This window comes from Homo sapiens, chromosome 5 (genome assembly GCF_000001405.40).
Source record: "Homo sapiens chromosome 5, GRCh38.p14 Primary Assembly".
Lineage (NCBI taxonomy): Eukaryota > Metazoa > Chordata > Mammalia > Primates > Hominidae > Homo > Homo sapiens.
The window spans coordinates 95,596,079-95,619,642 of NC_000005.10; the positions used below are offsets into that span (position 1 = coordinate 95,596,079).

At 37.3% G+C, this 23,564-nt stretch overlaps 1 protein-coding gene across 2 annotated transcripts in view; it reads left to right on the plus strand.

The window, feature by feature from the left end:
* ARSK (arylsulfatase family member K) overlaps positions 1-9,024 on the plus strand; it is a 50,002-nt gene extending 40,978 nt beyond the window's left edge. For both annotated transcript variants that reach the window (NM_198150.3, XM_047416820.1), the window contains 2 exons: positions 4,769-4,993; positions 7,159-9,024. In NM_198150.3, coding sequence (NP_937793.1) covers positions 4,769-4,993; positions 7,159-7,448 — 515 coding nt within the window. In that variant the 3' untranslated portion in view covers positions 7,449-9,024. The remainder of the gene's footprint in view (positions 1-4,768; positions 4,994-7,158) is intronic.

Consider the following 23,564-nt stretch of genomic DNA (forward strand, 5'->3'; position numbering starts at 1 on the left):
ACAAAACAAAGATCATTCTGATGGTCTACGTTTAATCTGATGGATCATTCAACCTTTTAAGATAAAATTCCTCAGTGCTGGAACAGTTTAAAGCTACTTTATTAGTGATTAATTCTAAAATTAGACCTGTGAGACAGTATGTTCTACTTCACCTCTGCTTAATAAACAAACTTATACATATTTTGATAAAACATCTACAAAGGACTTCTTATTTTGTTCTAACCAATTAGGAGCTTAAAATAGATATAAGCAAGTATCTATTCTTAGAGCTCTCAAAGTCCTTTCTTTATTAGTTTAGCTGTAGCTTTATTATTTTGTATGAATCCTGTTTACACACACAGAGGAGAGGCTTATAAAGAAAAATGATATAAAGAGAAAAATTTGTTTTGAAATTGATTTTTCAAGGATAAACTTTGCTTATAGTGTATTTGACTTTTAAAATATTTGAGTCTTCTGGAAACTAAAAATGAAATTAAAATCCTGAAATGTCTGTTAAACAGAAAAAAACACTTCTTGTATCAAAAAATATATATATATCTCAAGCCAAAAACTCAAGCGATATTTCCTCCTCACTTCCATTCTGTGGATCTTAGAAATGTATAAAAGATGGTTATTCTACCTTCAATAGAAAGAAACTGAATAAGAAAAACCAACTGGAATTCCTGTTTTAATAAACCTATCTTACTATCAAGAGGCTATTGAAATTTAAGATGCAACAATACTTTATTTAAAAGTTTGAATTTACAAGTCATTTTTTAAAAGGTATTTTAAAAGAGTGGTTTTTTTAAAGAAAATATTTTATGATAAAATAGGAAGAATATGCTTAGTTTATTTGTGCTTTTGGATCAAATAAACTAATTCTATCACTAGTGTGATAGGATACTATTACATTATCATTTCCTAATACCAGCAGGAAAATGACATTTATGAATAGGAATTCTTTATAATATTAATATTAAAGTTGATATTATTTCTGAGATTATTTAAAAATTACTTCCCGAAATATTTTCTTCTCTAATACCTGGTATCAGCATCTTTTAGCTCAGTAAGAACTAAAGGTGTCTCGTTTTGTAGTTAAAATTGTTTTGATTTTTATTTTTAAGCTTATTTTCATGTGAATTGTTTTCTGTAATAGTCTTTCTGTAAAACACCTGCCTTTCTCCACTTAAAAGATAAGTCTAGATTTTTTTAATTTTGAGAATGTAATTATACAAAAATGCAGTTGTAGTTAAAAGAATATTTCATTGCTAGTAATTTAAATTTCAAAACCCTTCTTGTTACAGGACCTTAGTGGAAGCCTGGGGGTTGGCAGGTGTTTTGCATAGATTCTTGTGTTTTTATTGGCTGAGGAATATTATGAAGTTGGCTAACTACAGTAAGGCAAGGCTTATGGTGTAGTATTAAAAGTACAGAGATTGTAAGGTCAGACTGCCTAAGTTCAAACCCCTCTTTACTCGTTACCAACTGCGTAATCTTGGGCAGGTTACTCAACATGTCTGGTCTTCAATTTTCTCATCAATGAAAATGGGGATAGGCCAGGCGTGGTGGCTCACGCCTGTAATCCCAGCACTTTGGGAGGCCAGGGTGGGCAGATCACTTGAGGTCAAGAGTTCAAGACCAGCCTGGCCAACATGGTGAAACCCCGTTTCTACTAAAAATACAAAAATCAGCCAGGCGTGGTGATGTGCACCTGTAATCCCAGCTACTCGGGAGGCTGAGGCAGGAGAATCACTTGAACCTGGGAGGCAGAGGTTGCAGTGAGCCAAGATTGCGCCACTGCACTCCAGCCTGGGTGACAGAGTGATACTCTGCCTCAAAAAAAAAAAGTGGGGGGCGGGTAATAGTGGCTATTTCATAGCTCAGAACAATGCCTGGAACATGGTGAACAATTAAATGTTAGATATGGTTATCATTAATATGTTTAATTCTTCTTAGATATGCTCTAAAAAATGTGTATATTAGTTTGCATCATTGCCATACCACTCAAATCCATTATGTACTGATATGGTCAGGAAGAAATATAATATCATCTCTCTTCAGGAGATCATCACACATATCCAGGCCTGCATTTTTACCATTTGTTTACTGTTTTACATTAAGTCACTCTTGCTTAAGAACCCTGCGGTTACTTCTAGTCTGTGCTTATACTCCCATGAAAGATGAAGCTTATTTAAAATGGAGTTAGAATGACAGGTTTGCCAGGAGAAATAAATATGCAAAATGATTTTAAATAAAAATCAAACAGCTTTTTGAAAAGCAGTCTAAACTAAAGCGCTTTTAAGGGAATTATTGATAAATATATGAAAAATGAAAACCCAATTTTCTGAGGCACAGAAAAACCAATAAATACTTGAAGTATTTATTAAATATTATGGATATTTCGCATGGGTTTTATCAATTTACAAAGGTATTTTATTCTATCAATAATAGACTGGAATCCCAAGTTCCCCTTATCTCTTGCCTGGATTCCTGCAATAGCTTCCTAACTCTCTCTGACCTTCTGCCCTTACCCACTTTTAGTCAATTCACCATTCCGTTGTTAGTGTCAGACTGTCACACCTCTGCTCAAAACCCTCTACTGATTTCCCATTTCACCTAGAGTAAAAATTCAGTGTCTTTAATTAGGCTTTGAGAGTCCAACATGATCTCTTCTCTTCCCCAACTCATCTCTTATAATTTTATCCCTCACTTACTCTACTCCAGCCAAACAGGCCTGCTTGGTGTTTGGAAAATAAACCAAGTAGGTTCCTGCCTTGGGGACTGTACACTTGCTATTCCCCTGGGGGAATGCCCTTTCCCCAGATAACTGTAGGGCTCACTCTAGCCCCTCCTCGGGACACTGTCTAAATGTGACCTTCTCAGAGGGGCCTTCCCTGACCACCCTATATAAAACAGCACATACCCACATGCCTGCCATCACTCTCTATCTCCCTTACCCTGCCTTCTTCTTCTTCATTGCACTTACCACCATCTGACACAGCTGTTTCTGTCTGCCCACATTAGAATGTTAGCTCTGGGAGAGCTTTTCTGCCTTGACCAGTGTTGTTTCCCTACAGCTAGAACAGCACCTGGTTTGCTGAATGAATTTTAAAAATGAACACTTGAATGGACTCTTTCCCAGTTTACTAATGACTTCTCATAAACACAGGAGAAACATAAGTTTCTTAGTCTTCCAAGCTTCCTTAGGAAAATTAAGAATGGTTCTAAAATAAGGCATTTCTAAGTATTAAAGGTTATTAAAATGCTGAGTACAAGAACTTGCCATAGTCATGAGTATGTGCCAGTTGGTTCCTGCCTCCCAACCTTTCTTAAAGACTACTTCTCTCTCTTCCCATGCCTTGCTGGTGGTGCCTCCTGATGGCTGACACACAGACCACCCTTACCCAGCCTCTTCCCTCACAGCCTTCTTTCCACTGCTTACAGTAGGTAGTCTCTGTGTCTTGGAGCACAGTTAGTTTCACCCAGGCAAGGCTTCTCTCCCGGGCACATCCTCTTTAACCTCTTTTCTCCTCTTTTTGTTTTTAACCAGTCACCTCTGAAATACTCCTCTCTTCTTTCTTTCCTTATCTCTGAACAAAAAAGCCACTAATTTTGATTGGTTGGCAGAAAATTAATACTTGTGATAGTCTTCTTCCAAGGAAAATGGAAGCTACAAACTTTTTTTATCAAGTTATATATGAAACAACTACCTTCAGAAGATTTATAGCGGTCTTCATCTACTTCCCTATTATCCTTTAATTAACCTGTTTTTGTCAAAGATAGTCAAGTTAAATTAATTTTCTTATTCAATTTGGTTTAATTTCTAACATTACAGATATAATTCTATTTTTCATTGGAAATATTTATACATAAAATATGAACATTGAAACCAGAAAAGGGCTGGGGAAGACAACTGCAGACTCATTTTGGAACAACCCTAATTACCCAGACATAATTAATGGTAATTTTTCTATAGGAAGAGGGAAGTTTAAGGTCTAATTACCTTGAAAGCAATTTTTAAAAGTATAAGCTATTTTTCAGTTGAACATTTCTCATGCTGTTGTTCTATATGTCTACATTTGGTAAGTTAAAAATTATTTTTCCCTTCCTAAATATAATCCACAATTCCTGAAAGCATGTTTTTCAAGATGCTAGTCCCTCAAGATGCTACTTGAGAATGTAAAAAGCTCTGTTATCACATAACTTTGGGGCACATAGTATACTATATACCACTCCTGAAGGTTTATCATATACATCAGCAATAAATTTACATCTACAACAAACTTATGTATTTAATTTTGTTTAACCATTGTTTTGCAAACATATAAGACTACTAAACCCCTTTCTTGTATAAGACTTGTTAATATCCCATGAAAGAAACTTTGAGAAACAACTATGATTATTTAATCATTTAGAGAAAAAAGGAATAGTGATATTAACTATTTGTTGAAGGCTCCTATCTGCCAGGCATTGTCCTCAGAGTTCTTAGAATTTTACATAAAGTATCTTATTTAAACCTAAAATGAACCTAATAAATACAAGTACTGTGGTCATCCCCTTCTTACAGATGAGAAAACTGAGGTTGAGATAAGTAAATTACTTGCTGAAGTCCACATGGCCAGTGGGGTAAGCATGTGAATTTTGGCAGCCTGTTTACAAAATCCATATACAATCTCCAGTCTCCATGGCATTTAATGGTATGAAAAAAATGTGAATGATGCTATTTGTGAATGTTCAGCTAATAAAAGAATGAGCTATTTTAAGATATTTGGTTATTTTTGTTACATAGATATTGCTGGAATTCCTCTGCCTCAGAACCTGAGTGGATACTCTTTGTTGCCGTTATCATCAGAAACATTTAAGAATGAACATAAAGTCAAAAACCTGCATCCACCCTGGATTCTGAGTGAATTCCATGGATGTAATGTGAATGCCTCCACCTACATGCTTCGAACTAACCACTGGAAATATATAGCCTATTCGGATGGTGCATCAATATTGCCTCAACTCTTTGGTAAGTTTGTTAATATATTTTTAAGTGTAATATTATGTGTAATGAACTGCCCTATGTAGCATTGCTCAAGATATCCAATAATCCTTGTTAAATAAATGAATATCTGCTGCTTCTCATGCTAGGACGATCTACAAAAGGTTGCCCATGTGAGGAACAGCCTCTTTGCAGATCAGCAGCTGAATTTCAGAGAAAGTGTCCTAAGGCTTTTGATCTGGGTCTCATGACTGAAACCAGTTTTCTCTGATCAGGGCATCTTTCAGTACTCATGGTTATCTTTCCCAATTTGAAGTCAACACCTCATTGTACCTCATTGTTCTGAAGGATTAACACCTATCTTATGAAGCCTGACATTTTACATGTATTATTTAATGTTCACCACAACCCCACAAGATAGTACCATTATCCTCATTTTACAGAGGAGTCTATGAGAGAAATTTGGATACCTGTGTGAGGTCTCACAGCTAAGAAGTAGCAGAACTGAGATTTCAACGAAGCTGTGACTGTAAAATTGATGCTTCTTACAGCTTCTAAAAAATGTCTGCCAGCTTCACTACTCTATGAATTAATTTTTAAGCAGCATTTTTAGATTCAGGGTTTTACTCATCCTTTGTCCCCATTTAGTACATAAAATATGTGCTAAAGCCATAAGTAATATTTATTTCTCCCTAAGGCTCCTTCCCAGTTACAAATAGCAAAATTATTATCAAAATAATACTTTGGGGGCCAAACTGGCCAACCCCCTTCACTTGAAGAGTGGAGGATTCTTGGCTGAAAAAGGAAGTCTTTACATTTTCATCCTGATGAGTAATGGGCATCTCTTGCTTGTTCATTGGCCATTGTCAAATGAAATTTATGGGAGGCCATTGTTTTGAACTGAGTTCCTACACCAGGCTCAACAGACCACATCAAACCAGAATGGGGTCACTGGCAGTAGGTGCCCCATAATCAAACTGAACTTTAGAAGAAAAAAAAAAGAGAATCACAATAACCAATCCGAAGGGGCTCATTTTACCTGAACCAGCATAAGGAAGTCTCCTCTGTTTTTACTGGACAAAGAAAGTAACACTATAATGACGAATCTGCTTTTTGTTCCATGTTTCTGGGACTTTTTCATCAGCCTTTTTCTGCCTATAAAGCCCACCTCCCCTGCTCAGCTCATCAGAATGCCTTTTCTAAATCTTTAGAGGGGTTGCTGCCCAATTCAGGAATCACTAAATAAAAGCCAATTTGTTCTTTAAATTTGTTGAAATTTTGTTTTTTATACCATGTTCTACCAAAAAACTGATGTGACTATCAAAATGTCAGAAGTGGGGAATCAGCCTTTTCTGTACTTTTTAGGGCTTATTGATTTCCCTTTCCTAAAGATGTACCATCTGGAAATTACCTAGCAAAGTCACATATCTCTTCAGGGGCCTCTTGGCTACTGCACTTAAGTAGGCCCATAGAGGTTTTTCCCTCAACATACAGTGTTCATTTACTATCTGAAGTTAATTGTCATAAGATCTCTGACTTGCTGTTCTTCCAGTTAGATTGGTATACTAGTTATATCCCTGTCTTCCCATACCATATCTAAAAAGTATCTTTATGGATCTGAAATATTTATCATTATTTTCTTGCTGGCAGTGATTGAGAAGTTTGTATTTCCATGGCTGTTTGTTCAAATGGACAGTACTGATGAATGTAACTTTCAAAACTCCAAGCATAAGATACTAATATATAAAGAAAACTAGGACTAAGTAAAGTTGCAGGAACATGACTTGTCTATATAAAGAATTTGTAGAAAGTTTGAGGCTGTTAAAATGGTACAGTATAAGCATTACTGTATTCATTTCTGCCTGTCAAAGTAGGCAGGACATCAAAAACAGGAAGAACTTGTTCTAAACCAGCTTACTAATGATAAAAGTTTGACTTTTTCTGGCATTTAAGAAAAGAAAAAAAAAGTGGGATAGCTGGACAATGGTAGGAAGGAGGGAATTTGGGCATGCAACATAGGGTGTTTAACTCCTGGTATGTTATTTTACCATTTATACTGTCCTTCATTTTACTACACTAACAGGAACTGAAAATCTAAAAAAAAAATCTAATACATTACCTGTCATAATGACATTCTAAAAAAATTTTTAGCAGGTCACTATTTTGACAGATACTTATTTTTTTTCTTTCAGATCTTTCCTCGGATCCAGATGAATTAACAAATGTTGCTGTAAAATTTCCAGAAATTACTTATTCTTTGGATCAGAAGCTTCATTCCATTATAAACTACCCTAAAGTTTCTGCTTCTGTCCACCAGTATAATAAAGAGCAGTTTATCAAGTGGAAACAAAGTATAGGACAGAATTATTCAAACGTTATAGCAAATCTTAGGTGGCACCAAGACTGGCAGAAGGAACCAAGGAAGTATGAAAATGCAATTGATCAGTGGCTTAAAACCCATATGAATCCAAGAGCAGTTTGAACAAAAAGTTTAAAAATAGTGTTCTAGAGATACATATAAATATATTACAAGATCATAATTATGTATTTTAAATGAAACAGTTTTAATAATTACCAAGTTTTGGCCGGGCACAGTGGCTCACACCTGTAATCCCAGGACTTTGGGAGGCTGAGGAAAGCAGATCACAAGGTCAAGAGATTGAGACCATCCTGGCCAACATGGTGAAACCCTGTCTCTACTAAAAATACAAAAATTAGCTGGGCGCGGTGGTGCACACCTATAGTCTCAGCTACTCAGAGGCTGAGGCAGGAGGATCGCTTGAACCCGGGAGGCAGCAGTTGCAGTGAGCTGAGATTGCGCCACTGTACTCCAGCCTGGCAACAGAGTGAGACTGTGTCGCAAAAAAATAAAAATAAAATAATAATAATTACCAATTTTTCATTATTTTGTAAGAATGTAGTGTATTTTAAGATAAAATGCCAATGATTATAAAATCACATATTTTCAAAAATGGTTATTATTTAGGCCTTTGTACAATTTCTAACAATTTAGTGGAAGTATCAAAAGAATTGAAGCAAATACTGTAACAGTTATGTTCCTTTAAATAATAGAGAATATAAAATATTGTAATAATATGTATCATAAAATAGTTGTATGTGAGCATTTGATGGTGCTCGATGAGTTACTTGTATTTGATGGGATTGTTTGGATGTATTTAATGGGAGTATTTGGAGTATTTAACGGGATGTAAACCCTGGATGTACCTGATTTTGTTACTGTTTTATTTTAATAGGTAATATATATACAGGGTAAAAGCTTCAAATGGTACAAAAGGGTTAACAGTGATCGTGAAGTCTCTGTCCTTTCCCTCTTCCCTGCCATCCAGTTCCCCCTCCAAGAAGCAAGTACCGAAACCACCTGCTTACGCATTTTTAGAGATTGGCCACAAATTTATAAACAAATGTATATATTCCTTTCCCCCTACACAAACGGTAACATACTGCACACATTGTTCTGCATGTTGCTTCTTTTTCCTTTTTTTTTTCACTTAACAGTAGATATCTAGAGGTGAAATTACTGAGTCAAGACTATATTTAGCAAAATTACACTAGATACTACAAATTACCTCTAAAGAAGGTATACTAACTGATAATCTCACCATCAATGCATGTCTTCTTATCCTTTGCCAACCTAACAGATAAAAATGTTCTATTTTTATTTTTCTTTTTATGAGTAACGTAGAGCATATTTTCATGTATTTAACAGCCACTGGAATCTGCTTTACCATGGCCTTTCCTATTTCTATTCTTTGCCTATTTTTCTGTTGGTTGTTGGTCTTTGTTTTGTATTACAGGTGTGCTTTAGATATTAGCTTTTTGTAAGAGATCCTGCAAATATCTTCTTTCCAGTTTGTCATTGTCATTTGTCTTTTGACTTTGTTCTGGTATTTTTTGATATGTAGAAATTTTTATTTTCATGTAAGCAAATTTATGAATCTTTGTACACCATAAGTATATACAATTATGATTTGTCAATTAAAAATATTAGTACAAAATTTACAGATCTTTGCTTTTGTGGCTTTTGGGATTTTGTATCATATTTAGAATGGCCTTCTCCACTTGTCATTTTTTTTTTTGAGACGGAGTCTCGCTCTGTCACCCAGACTGGAGTGCAATGGTGCAATCCCGGTTTCAAGTGATTCTCCTGCCTCAGCCTCCCAAGTAGCTGGATTACAGGCACCCGCCACCACACCCAGCTAATTTTTTGTATTTTTAGTAGAGATGGGGTTTCACCGTGTTAGCCAGGATGGTCTTGATCTCCTGACCTGGTGATCTGCCCACCTAGGCCTCCCAAAGTGCTGGGATTACAGGCGTGAGCCACTGCGCCTGGCCTCCACTTGTCTTCTTTTATAATTTTATTTTTCACCTTTGGATCTTTGACCCAGCTGGAATGTATTAAACATATTAGAAATCTAACTTTGGTTGTTTTTTTAAATATGCCTACCCATTGATCTTTTATTGAGTAAACTGTCTCTTCTCCCATTCGTAAAAATGTCACTTCATCATATAATACCTTTGGTTGAGTACATTATCTTTTCCTCCATTGATTTGCGATGCCATTTTTATCTATACCAAAGTCCCATTTATACTTATGCCATTTCTGAACATTTTATTTTCCACTGGACCATTCTATTTTCTTTGTTTCTGTTTTGTTTTTTGTTTTTTTGAGACAGGGTCTTCCCTTGTCACTCAGGCTGGAGTGCAGTGGCACAATCACTGCTCACTGCAGCCTCAATCTCATAGGCTCAGGTGATCCTCGCACCTCAGCCTCCCTAGTAGCTGGGACCGCAGGCACGCGCCACAAAACTCAGCTAATTTTTTAAATTTTTATAGAGACAGGGTTTCACTGCATTGCCCAGACTGGTCTTAAAGTCCTGCACTCAAGCAACCTGACTGTCTCAGCCTCGCAAAGTGCTGGGATTACAGGCATGAGCCACCACACCCAGCCAGACCAGTCTATTTTATTAGTCTGGTAGACAGTATCTGGTAGGACTAGTCCCTTTGCAATAGTTTTCTTTTTTCAGAATTGTCCTTCCTAGCAACTCTTGATTTTTCCATACAAATTTAGAATAAGTTTGTGTAGTAACAAAAATGAAAAGTCCTGTTGGCTTTTAAATGAAATCATTAAATGTATAACCTACTTTAGAGAGAATTTAATTCTTTATGATAGTTATTCTAAATAATTAGCATGTTTTTCCCTTTATTCAAGTCTTCTTTTATATCCCTCAGTAGTAGTCTAAGTTTTCTTCATATAGATCAATTTGTCCGGAAAAATTTTTGAAAAGCAGAGACTTTAAAAAATACCCCCCTAGGCTCTACACTACACCACTTGATTAGAGCTTCTGAGACAGCCTGGGCCTGCTGTGCTATTATTGTTGTCTTGCTGGTCAATCCCTCCAGCCATGATTCTAATATGTAGCCAGAGGTGGGTTTATTTCCAGTTGTTTTATCAGTTATTGTGATTTTAAGTGAATCTTCCTTCCATTATATCCTCTAAGAGAAGATCTTCTTGTTTATATGTGCACTCCATTTCCATATATTTATTTTATGCTGAATCACTTCATAGTGAGTAATAGTTTTTCAAGTGATATATTATTTTCCAAGTAAAAATCTTACCTGCAAATAATTTTACCCAACTTAATACTTCTTCAAACTGTCTTTGAAGTTTTCTTCATGAGTAAGTTCATCTCCTTTATTTATTTGTTTATCGTTCTTCAGTGAATTTATATGAGCTTACCTTTGCAATTATGAATTTCTGAGAAATGATTTTACTTTTGAATATATCTGATTTTTATTACATATGTATATACACATGCATACACAAACACACATATTCTGAAGTGAAACCCTTAAAAAGAAAGACTGAGTATTAAGGTTAAAATTAAACTATACAAATCCACCATCCATCTCCTAAATAAGCCTAAAGAACACAAGTAGCTAAAGTATGGGTATATATGCTAATCATAGAGAGAAAAGCAATAACAATAGAAATGTGGTCCTGAAAATAGGCTTGTGAAGATAAATCTACTTCATTCTACCCAAACCCTTTAAGATACACATTCATTGTAAGAATTTACCAAGCATCTGCCATGTTTTAAGCATATTAAGTACAGGATCATAATTAGGTACAGTTGAATATTCAGGACAATATCTAATTCAGAATGGTATCTAACAATCATGAAAACCGAAAATTAAGAAAAACGCACAAAATCAAGACAATTATCTAATGCCAGAATCTGAGAGGAACTGACACTAATTAGAAGCTGGAATGAGAATAACCTTTGGGCTTCCATTTTTACTACCTCCACTACTAACTTCTTGTTCTAATCCACCATGATCTGTGCTTGGAATTTTGCTGTTGACTCTTAAGAGGTCTCCATGAATCTGTCCTTGGCTTCCTTCAGTCTGTTCTCAACAGCAGCCAGAGTGAGCCTGTCAAAATACAGATCACACCCCTGGATACTCAAAGCTCCCACTGGTTTCCCATCTTTTTCTGTAAAAGCCAGAGTCATTACAATAGCCTGTGGGCCCCAAATAATCTGGTAGCATGTTCTCTCTAAGACCGCTTCTCCTCCTATACTCCTACCTGATTTACTGTGCTCCAGCCACATGCATCCCTGTTGCTTTCCAGACAGACACACCAGGCATGCACCACCAAGACCTCTTTGCGCTTGTCAATTTTTTCTGCCTAGAGTGCAGTTCTTCCTTCAGATTTTTTCATGGCTCACTGTTATTTCCTTGAGGTCATGGCTCAAATGTCACCATCGCACAAGGACTTTCCTGCTTTATTTTTCTCCATAGAAATTATTACCATTTAATTTAGTGTGTGTCTTACATAATTAATGTGTTTGAGCTGTCTTTTACCCTTTCTGACGGTACTAGAATAAAAGCTCCAACCAGGCATGGCGTTTTGTCCCTTTTCTCCATAAAGTATCTCAAATGCCTAACACATAGTAGAAGCTTAGTAAATACTTGTTGAATTAATTTACTGGGAATTACAGCTTTTCAAATATCACATTAGTTTAGAAAACCAACAAATTTGGGCTGTAGCAGGGTGGGGAGTAAAAGGGAGTAGGCTTTTTTTTTTTTTTTTTGAGACGGAGTCTTGCTGTGTCACCCAGGCTGGAGTGCAGTGGCTCCATCTCAGCTCACTGCAACCTCCACCTCCTGGGTTCAAGCCATTCTCCTGCCTCAGCCTCCCAAATAGCTGGGACTATAGGCATGTGCCACCACATCCGGCTAATTTTTGTATTTTTAGTAGAGATGAGGTTTCACCATGTTAGCCAGGCTGGTCTTGAACCCCTGACCTCAGGCAATCTGCCAACCTCGGTCTCCCAAAGTGCTAGGATTACAGGCATGAGCCGCCGAGCCCGGCCAAGGGAGTAGTTTTCTTAATAAAGCAAAGCCTTCTAGAAACAGTAAATTGTAGCAAAATCTTGCACAAAAGAGCTAACAAATAGACACTATCCCCCTTTGTTTTATCTTTTTAAAATCGACACATAATAATTCTACCTATTGGCCACGTGCGGTGGCTCACGCCTGTAATCCCAGCACTTTGAGAGGCCAAGGCTGGTGGATCACATGAGGTTGGTAGTTCGAGATCAGCCTGACCAAGCCTCTGCATGTCTTAGTAGAGACATGGAGAAACCCTGTCTCTACTAAAAATACTCTGTCTCTACTAAAAATTAGCCAGGTGTGGTGGCGCATGCCTATAGTCCCAGCTACTTGGGCGGCTGAGCCAGGAGAATCGTTTGAACCCGGGAGGCAGAGGTTGCCATGAACTGAGATTGCGCCATTGCACTCTAGCCTGGGCACAAGAGCAAAAATCCATCTCAAAATAAATAAATAAATAAATAAATAAATAAAATAATTATACCTATTTATGGACTACAGTATACCTCTATACATGTATACAAGGTGTAATGATCAAATCAGGGTGATCAGCATACCAATTACCTCAAACATTGATCATTTCTTTGTGTACATTCAAAATCTGTTCTATTTGAAAATATATAATAAATTATTGTTAATTACAGTCACTCCGTAGTACTATAGAACACTAGAATGTATTCCTCCTATCCTACTGTACTTTTGTATTCGTTAACCAATCTTTAGCTGTTCCTCTCTCCCCTTACCCGTCCCCACCTCTAGTAACCACTGCTCTACTCTCTACCTCCATGAGATCAATGCTTTTTTACGCTTCTGCTTGTGAGTAAGAACATGCAGCATTTATCTTTCTGTGCCTGGCTCATTTCACTTAACATAATGTTCTTCAATTTCATCCATGTCGCTGCAAATGATAGAATTTCATTCTTTTTACAGCTAAATAGTATTCCATTGTGTATATATACCACATTTGCTTTATCCATTCATCTGTTGATGGACACAGGTTGATTCCATACCTTGGCTATTGTGAATAGTGCTGCAGTAAACATGGGGTGCATGTATCCCTTTAATGTACTGATTTCCTTTCCTTTAGATATTTACCTAATAGTGGCGTTGCTGGATCATGATAGTTCTATTTTTAGTTTTTTGAGGAACCATTTTACTGTTTTCCATAATGGCTGAACTAATTGACGTTCCCACCAACAGTGTAAGAGTTCCCCTTTCTCCTCATCCTGCTAGCATTTATTATTTTTTGTCCTTTTGATAATAACCATTCTAACTGGGTGAGATTACACCTCATTGTGATTTTATCTTTTTCTATTAAAAAAAGGCTAGATACTAAATATTTTAGGCTTTGTGAGCCATATGGTCTCTTTCACAACTACTCATCTCTACCGCTGAAGTGTGAAAGCAGCAAGACAATATGTAAACAAATGAGCGTGGCTATGTTCCAATATAGCTTTGTTTACAAAAATGCAGGATTTGCCTTGTGGGCCATAGTTTGCTCAATGCTGGGCTAGAATAGTTTGCAACCTTGCCGCAAATTGGAATCACCTGAGGATGTTTAAAAACTATTATTGCCTGGCTCCTACCCCAGGCTGCAGGAGTTTTAAAGCTTCCCAGCCTGTAATCCCAGAACTTTGGGAGGCTGAGGCAGGCAGATCACCTGAGGTCAGGAGTTTAAGACTAGCCTGGCCAACATGGTGAAACCCCGTCTCTACTAAAAATACAAAAATTAGCCGGGCGTGGTGGCGCGTGCCTGTAATCCCAGCTACTCGGGAGACTGAGGCAGAAGAATCCCTTGAACTAGGAGGCAGAGGTTGCAGTGAGCTGAGATCACGCCACTGCACTCCAGCCTGGGTGACAGAAAAAAAGGCTCAAAAAAAAAAAAAAAAAAAGCTTCCCAGGTGATTCTAATGTGCAGCAAAATCTGGGAACCACTAGTCTGGAACCTTGTTATTCAAACTACCATCCTCAGGAAAGAAGCATCCATATCGACTAGGAGCTTTATCTTGTTTTGGTTTTTGTTTTTTAATGGATTTTGTATTCTTTCTACTGTTTGTGGTTTTTCAATTTATTAGACCCAGGAGATCCTCGTAAAAACTACTAGAATGGATGGAATTTGTTAAATGGCTGCATATACAAAAATAAAAGGTCAGGCGCGGTGGCTCATGCCTATAATCCCAGCATTTTGGGAGGGTGAGGTGGGGGGATCACCTGAGGTCAACACTTCAAGACCAGCCTGGCCAACATTGTGAAACCCCATCTCTACTAAAAATACAAACAATTAGCTGAGTGTGGTGGTGGGCGCCCGTATTCCCAGCTACTTGGGAGCCTGAGGCAAGAGAATCATTTGAGGCAGAGGTTGCAGTGAGCCGAGATTACACCACTGCACTCCAGCCTGAGCAACAAGAGCGATATGTTGACTCACATATATCTATAAGAGGAATCACTAGGTAAAAACAGAAATTAGAGAAAATATTACATTCATGTTATCCTATACATATTTATTTATTTGTTTACTTATTTATTTATTTTTGGTACAGGATCTTACTTTGTCACCCAGGTTTTGAGTGCAGTGGTGCGAACATGGCTCACTCACTGCAGTCTCAACCTCCTGGGCTCAAGTGATCTTCCTGCCTCAGCCCCCTGAGTAGCTGGGACCACAGGTGTGCATCACCATGCCCGGCTAATTTTTAAGTTTTTTCTAGAGATGAGGGTCTCACCATGTTGGTCAGGCTGGAAAATACTTTACATTTTAATGAGAGGTATACAAACCTAGATTTTTAAAACTATAAACTTCTATTGAAGTATATAAACAAAATATGAATATGCAATGACAGCATGTTCTTGGATGGGAAGATCTAATCTCAAAATATCACTTCCCCAAAATTAATGTATAAATTTTGTGCAATCCTGATTTTATTCCAGAAAAGAGATATTTTTATTTGATTTTTTAAATTGAATGAAATGGTCTGATAGTTTTTATGGAAAAAATAATGTCTGAAATAAGTAATAAAATTATGGGAAAATAATATCGAGGTGGGATTAATATTACTGGCTATTAAAACATACTATAAACCACTGAATTAAACTAAGAACTTGGTAATGAGGGGCCATGAAGCAAAAAAGAGATGACTCAACACAAACTAGGTAGAAGAAGCTCATGTGGAAAGCAGACCATCTAGACCCATGTTAGAACTATTATCCCCCTTCTACACTGGCCATACTCATTTGTGTGCGTATACATATATATTGTTTACAATTATGTATGTATTATTTACAATTATGTATATTAAACTTTCATTAGGTAGAATTTTTACCGCCAAAAAAATTTTTTTGGAGGCAGCGTCTCACTCTGTCACCCCAGCTAGAGTGCAGTGGTGCAATCATAGCCCATTGCAGCCTTCAATCTCCCAGGCTCAAGCAATCCTTCCACCTTAGTCTCCGAAGTAGCCAGGAGTATAGGTGTGCGCCACCGTGCCTGACTAATTTTTTTATTTTTCAGAGACAGGGTCTCCCTATGTTGCCCAAGCTTGTCTCAAACTCCAGGACTCAAGCAATCCTCCTGTCTCAGCCTCCCAAAGTGCTCAGGCTACAGGCGTGAGGCACAGAGCCTGGCCTAACCCAATTATTTTTAATTTTAACATTAAAAAGCTGAGTCTTAAAAAATTCTTGAGTCAAAAAATTATAATTATATGCTATTTTAAAAGTAATAAAAATGAGAAAATTTAGATCAGTCATTCAGGATGGCATGGCTACAGACAAAAATAAGAACATTTAGAAAAATATATGATACAACCAAAACTATACTCAGAATAATATTCTTAGCCTTAAGCTTTTTATTATTAAAGGAAATTTAAAAACTCTTCAATGTTAAAAGTTAGAAAAAATATGCATAAATTTTGCAATATTTACGGTGAAGTTTTGATATCCTTAAATAATGGTTTGAGAATTGTATTTCCACTTAGGATAGACAAAGATGCAAGGGAATACTGCTCCCATGTTAACAACAACAACCAAAAGAAAAAAATAAAGGCAGAAAATCTACAAAATCAAAACTTTTCTTGAGCCTATCAGAGAAAGGAGATTGCCAGGCAACAGGTGAACTAAATTCGAAAAGGTGGCAAGCACCTCCAAGGACAGGTGAGACCTCTGACAGAACACGGGAGGAAAAACTCACAGCCAAAAAAGTGGGTAAAGAAGCAACTGATATTTTGACATATACTTAAAGGCCAAATGCATGTGAAAATAACAGTAGAAACTCTGGGAACCCCCCACACACGGTGTGCCCACTGACTAACCAGCTTTCTTTCATGGACTTAATATGGTACTTAAAGAGAAAGACTAGGGGCAGAGCAGAAGACCTGATGGAGCCCCCTTAGTGGGATGGGTGTACAGACAGAGAGTGGCTGCCTCTTGAGGACAAGCATAAAACCCAGGACTTTTTGTCATACAAAGCAAAACACATCTGCCACTGGGGCAGGATCAGAAAACACTCTCACCCCCAGTCCTCAGCAAAAGGTCAGCTGTCACTGGGGAGGGGTAGATTACAGCGAAAGCTATCACTGCTAAGCAAGATGGAGAAACCTATTCATGCCCAGAATCTTTGTTACAAAGCAAAGGTTTCTCACAAAAGGGACAGAACCAAGAAATTTGCTCTTGGAAGTTACAAGACAGAATTCAGCTGCCATAGAGGGAAGGGACAGGATTATGGAGAAACTCCCACACTTGAGGCTCAGGCCCCCAGGGCCTGAATAAGACAAAGGTTGGAACAGGAAGGCCAAGAAAGCCACCCTGCCCCCATCATGGGCAGCAAACAGCACAGAACTTCTGGGAGAGGGGCCAAAGCCTGGAAAGAAACATCCCCGTCCCCTCCCCCACTCTGGTGGCCAAGTGTGAAGGGCCAGCTGAAAGTTGGGGATGGAGCAGAAACACTGAGAAAAACCTTCTACCATTCCAGGCCTCATAGTTGAAACGCAAGATGTCAGTATGGAGGAATATGAAGTCAACAGTATAATAATGATAACTGTAGTAACAACAAAATCTAAACCTAGCTCAACTACTGATTAGATTTACCACCCTAGTAGCCTGATGAGTGAAGAGGCATGGCCATTTTCAGAAGTAAACACTATTTACATCAGTCACTCTTATTCTTTTATATATAATGTCTGGCACTCAGTAAAACTTACAAGGCAAAAGAGTTAAAAAGAAAAAAAAAAAAGAAGCCAATTTTCAAGAGATAAAGCAGTAAACAGAACCAGACTGAGAGATGGCCCAGAGGTTGAAACTGTCAAAGTAACTGTAAAAATGCTATGATTAATATGTTAAAGGATTTAGTGGAAAATGTGGACCACATGCACGAACATATACAGAATTTCAGCAGAGATGGAAATGATTCAAAAAAGAATAAATTGGATACACTAGACATGAAAAACATGTTATTATGGATGAGGAATTCCTTCAATTGCCTTATCAGCAGACTAGAGATAGAAGAAAGAATTAGTAAACTTGACTACAGGTTAGAATAGAAAATTTTCAAAATAAAATCCTGAATTTCAAAAGGTGGCAAGCCCCTCTGAGGAGAGCTGGAACAGAGAGGGGAAAAAAGAGAAAAAGAAAAAGTGGAGAAAAATAGAGCATCCAAGAGCTGTGGGACAGTATGAAATGGCATAATATACATGTAATTCAAGTCACAGAAGGAGAATAGAAAGAGATAAAAGGTCGGAAGAAATAATTGAAAAGATAATTGCTGAGAATTTTCCAAAATTAATAAAAGACAACAAATCACCAACCTAAATGTTTAGAGAAGCCCAAGCAGAATATATACAAAGGGCTAGGCCCGGTGGCTCATGCTTGTAATCCCAACATTTTGAGAGGCCAAGGCGGGTGGATCACCTGAGGTCAAGAGTTTGAGATCAGCCTGGCCAACATGGTGAAACCCCATCTCTAATAAAAATACAAAAATTAGATGGATATGGTGGTGCATGACTGTAGTCCCAGCTACTTGGGAGGCTGAGGCATGGGAATCACTTGAACCCAGGTGGCAGAGGTTGCAGTGAGGCAAGATAAGGGGAAAATCTTGAATGCAACCACAGAAAAAAAGAAACACTCCAAAAAAAGAAACCAGCCAGGCACGGTGGCTCATGCCTGTAATCTCAGCACTTTAGGAGGCATAGCTGGGCAGATCACCTGAGGCCAGGAGTTCGAGACCAGCCTGGCCGCGTGTGGCACTCACCTGTAATCCCAGCTACTTGGGAGGCTGAGGCATGAGAATCATTTGAACCCGGGAGGCAGAGGTTGCAGCGAGCCAAGATTGCACCACTGCACTCCAGCCTGGGCGACAGAGCAAGACTCTGTCTCAAACAAATAAACAAACAAAAAGATAAGAATTACATCATTACAAAGATGAGCAAAATGTATCAAGCACTATGCAAACTAGAAGACAATGGTGCAACTTCTTTCAAGTACTGAAAGAAAAACTCATCATAGAATCCTATATGCCCAGCAAAAGTATCTTTCAAAAATGTAGGTAAAATAAAAACTTTATAAGACAGAAAAAAAAAAAAAGAAAACTAAGAGAATGTGTTGCCAGCAGATCTGAACTATAAGAAATGTTAAAGGACATTCTTTAAGCAGAAGGAATATGATCTCAAATGAGAAACTGCATCTACGCAAAGGGAGAAACTGGAAAACTCATACAATGATGGTGGGAAGGGCCCAGTCTCTATGGAAAACAGCTTGGCAGTTCCTCAAAAAGTTAAACATGAAATTCACATATGACTCAGCAATTTCACACCTAGGAATATACTCTAGAGAACTGAAACAGGCATTCGCAGAAAAACTTGTACACAAATATTCATAACAGAATTGTTCACTATAATGAAAACAACCAAAATGGAAACAGCCTAAAATAGAAACAACCCAAATATCCATCAGCTGATGAATGGATAAACAAAATTTGGTGTATCCACATAATGAAATATTATTTAGCCATAAATAATGAAATACTGTTACATACTACAATGTGGATGAAACTTAAAAACATTATTCAAAGCAAAAGAAACCAAAAACAAAAGGCTACATTATGTGATTGCATTTCTATGAAATGTCAAGAATAACCAAATCCATAGAGTCAAAGGAGACTAGTGGTTTCTAGGTGCTGGAAGAGGAAAATAATGTGTACGGGTTTATTTTGGGAATGATTTAAAAGTTCTGGAATTAGATAGTGGCAGTGGTTGCACAAACTTGTAAATATACTAAAAAGCACTGAATTGTATACTTTAAAATTCTAGATTTTATGATATATAAAGTATATCTCAATTTTTAAAATGAAGAAATAATGAAGTGTTTTCATCTATGAGAATGACAAACGCTGATGATGCTCATATTGTTGGGGCTATGGGGAAAAAGACACATACATTGCTTGCATCCCTTGTTGAGAATAACTCAGTACTATATGTTAAAATGCATTAAAAATGCACGTGCTCAGCCTCAGCAATTCCAATGACAGGATTTTATCATAAGGGAATAATTGAATGCATGTGCTAGGATGTAGGTGAAGAGATGTTCTTCACAGAATTATTTATAAAGTGAAAATGAGAAAAACTTTTGTCTAAAAATAGGGGGCTATTTAAATAATTGTAATCCATTCAACATTAAACAGATAATTATATCATATTATCACTGACATGGGAAGTGATCCAAATACAATCTTAGGTGAAATGAAAGCAGGATATAAAATGTTGTATGCAGTGTAATCTATTTCTGTAATATACAGATCTAGTCATTATAGCCTGAAATATATATCACTGAGTATTAACAACAGGTTTTTTTGAGCAGTATGTTAAGTGTTTTTTGTATGTGAATATGCATTGTCTAATTTTTCTGCAATTAATATGTACTGCTTATTTAATTAAAAACTACTGAGTTTTCAAAACATATATGCCAAACTTAATATCATCTATATTGAGACAACATTTATATTGAGACAAAGTGGCATTATGCACCCCAGAAATGATACACTTTTGACAGTATTACCTATGTAATGTTCCTGCCAGAAAAGTCAAATCCAAATTTAATTATGTGGAAACAAATACAATTTTAAGGATATTCCGCTAAACATGTGTCATGGACTCTTCAAATGTCAGCATCCCAAAAAGAAAAAGACAGGCTGGGAGGCTATTTAGGTAAAGGCCACTAAATAAGTATTACAATCAAATATAATTCATTATCTTTGATTATGCCCAGCACATTAGATAAAAATAAACCTATAGAAAAACATTTTTGTAAAATTGGTTAGAAAAAAGAGAATAATAACAAGCTTCTAGAAAGAAAAAAACAATGATCATATCTAAGCAAAACATGAATCAGATGGCTTCAGTCTTCTCAACACAAACACTCAGAAGCCAGAAAGGGAATGGAGTAATGCCTTCAAAATTCAGAAGGAAAAGATTTTCAAAAATAGGATTCCAAACCCAGCCAAATAATCAGTTAGGCAATAGGGTAGAATAAAGAAATTTTCAGACATGTGGGATCCCAAATAGTTACCTTCTCTCAAGAAGTCACTGAAAGGTGCTTTCTTCCCAAGCAAGAAAATAAACCAGGAAAGAAAAAAATCCATTAAATCAGAAAACAAGAGAACCAGCATGAGATAAGTGAAAGGAATCCCTAGGACGATGCTGACGTGAGATGCCAGGATGACCGCTGGCCCAGAGGGCAACATGTCCAGACAGAATCTGCATGACTCAAATAAGGAGTACAATGAGGTCTCTTACCACTTAGTTCTCAGGCTTTGTACAACCTTGTAAACCTTATGAAATATTAGATGATGTGTTCTACCAAAAAGGAAGAAATCAAGGAGAAAGACCAGAGATCCAAGAAACAGGAACTGCAACCCAAGAGAAAGGCAGAAAGTTTCAATGACGACAACAAATGGAGGTCCGCAGATGGTAGTTATGCAGTAGGCCTTGGGAGAAATTAGCCCAAATAAGAGAAAAATGAAAGTCTCTGGTAAAGAGGTTTCCGTGAAAAAAAATTGGAGCTGCTATATTACGTTTTGAAACTGACCTTGTGGAAATTGCTTGGGGGGACTATTTGAGGGTACAGGAAGAATTAGCTATGATAACAATGAAAAGTAAGAAAAGGCAATTATTAACTTTAAAAATAACAAAAAATAATATTCACAATATACAACTCAACTGTGAATATTTTTGTTTCATAATAATATAAACACCAAATATAAGTCTAACCCAAAATTACAGTATTGTTCTAATGGTATGGGAAATGGAAATAGTGACAGAGGTGCGAGAGATAAGTCTTTAATAAGAAGTTAACAGATAATATATCAATTTGTTAAATCAATGAATAGCATTACATATATATTATTTACTATTATGAATTAAGTCAATGCCAGAAGAAAGAGCAAATAGAGTCTAAATTGGTTCCCTCTAGAAAGAGGGGATAAAGAAGTGGAGATGTATAGGACAGGGAACTCTTTATGTTATCAGCCTTCTAGTTCCATTTGACTTTCAAAACTATGTGCATTGTATAATTTTAATAAGAATTAGTTTAGGCCAGGCCCAGTGGCTCATGCCTGTAATCCCAACACTTTGGGAGGCCAAGGTGGGCAGATTCTTGAGCCCAGGAGTTTAAAACTAGCCTGGGCAACATGGCGAAACTTAGCCTCTACAAAAAATACAAAACTTAGCTGGGTGTGGTGGTGTCTGCCTACAGTCCCAGCTAGTTGGGAGGCTGAGGTGAGAGAATCACCTGAGCCCAGGAAGTCGAGGCTGCAGTGAGCTATGATCATGCCACTTCACTCCAGCCTGGGCAACAGAGTGAGACCCTGTCTCAAAAAGGGAAAAAAAAAAAAAAAAAAGAATTTGTTGAAAATCAATGTTTTATCAGATCTTACTAAAGTTCTGTGAAATTTCACTATAGTCATTTTGAAATGCTAATATATAAGAGCATTTCAACAAATTTGAGACAAATGATAGACTATCTTGAGAAACACTGAAATGATACTGGCTAGGAAAATCACTGAATGATGAACATTGCTCAGAGAAGGCTCCCTGGAAGAAGTGCATTATAAACTGGGATGATGTGTGTGCATAGAAAAAGGCCTTGGATAAAAAGTTCTAAAGGGAGAGTATGAAAATCAAACCAGGATTTTAGATTTTCCAAGGCTATCACTCTAGCTTTCTTAAATGTCCCACCAGGAACACTTATTCCTATGTCTCCACAGAGCTTCCTTGGGCTCCTCTGGACAATACTGGCATAGTATAAAAGGAATTTTTTCTTAGGTGATGGATTTATAGTCAAGGCAGGCATTTATGCTCGAAGGTATCTGAAAAGCATCGTATATCCACTAATTCATCAACTCAACACATACCCACTGATAACTACAACCTGTCAGACCAGAGCGAGGCACCACAGAGATGATGATGAAAATAACCAAGGTTTCTGGCCAAAGGACAACAGCTTGGGAAATGGGATTCCTACAGCAGCTGGCAGGACTATCATGGAACCCACCAAATCTTCCTAGGCCATGAATCTTAAAGTTCCAAATGTTTCCTCAGATTGGGAATGTGAACCCTAGACAACACTCATACCTCCCTGGCCCCCAGGCCAGGAAGTACAGGAAATTCTACTTTCACCATGATTAACGTGGAGGGTGCATAAAAAGACAAATGGATGCTTCCAACAGGGAAACTAAAATGTGTTTGTGAGGAGACAAGGCTAAAATGAAAGCAGCAACATTTAATCTAAACCATTTCCTGTGACTTGGATTTCTTTTTTAAAAAAATTGGCCGCCTTATCACTTTCTTAGTCACCTTTTCTCTAGGCTTATTGGAGGCGTAGCCCCTCCTAGCAACTTCCCATCTGCTGGAAAACAGAATCAAGAGAATGAGGAGTGTGATGACGCATCCTTCACTGGATGAAAATATTAGGAGAAAAGCAATAAATGCACTACCATTTGCATAAAACCTATTAATGCCCTCTTCAGACTAATGAAATGAATTTTACATCACCAAGAAAGCAGCTGTGACCCACTGCTCCTAGTATTTGGAACGATCTGCAACACTGCCACTCCTAAAAGCAACATCATTGACTTTAGTACCCTCTAATTAAAATACTTTCATTCTTGGACAGAGAAGACACATCTTGATCAAAATTCAGCTAATAGGTC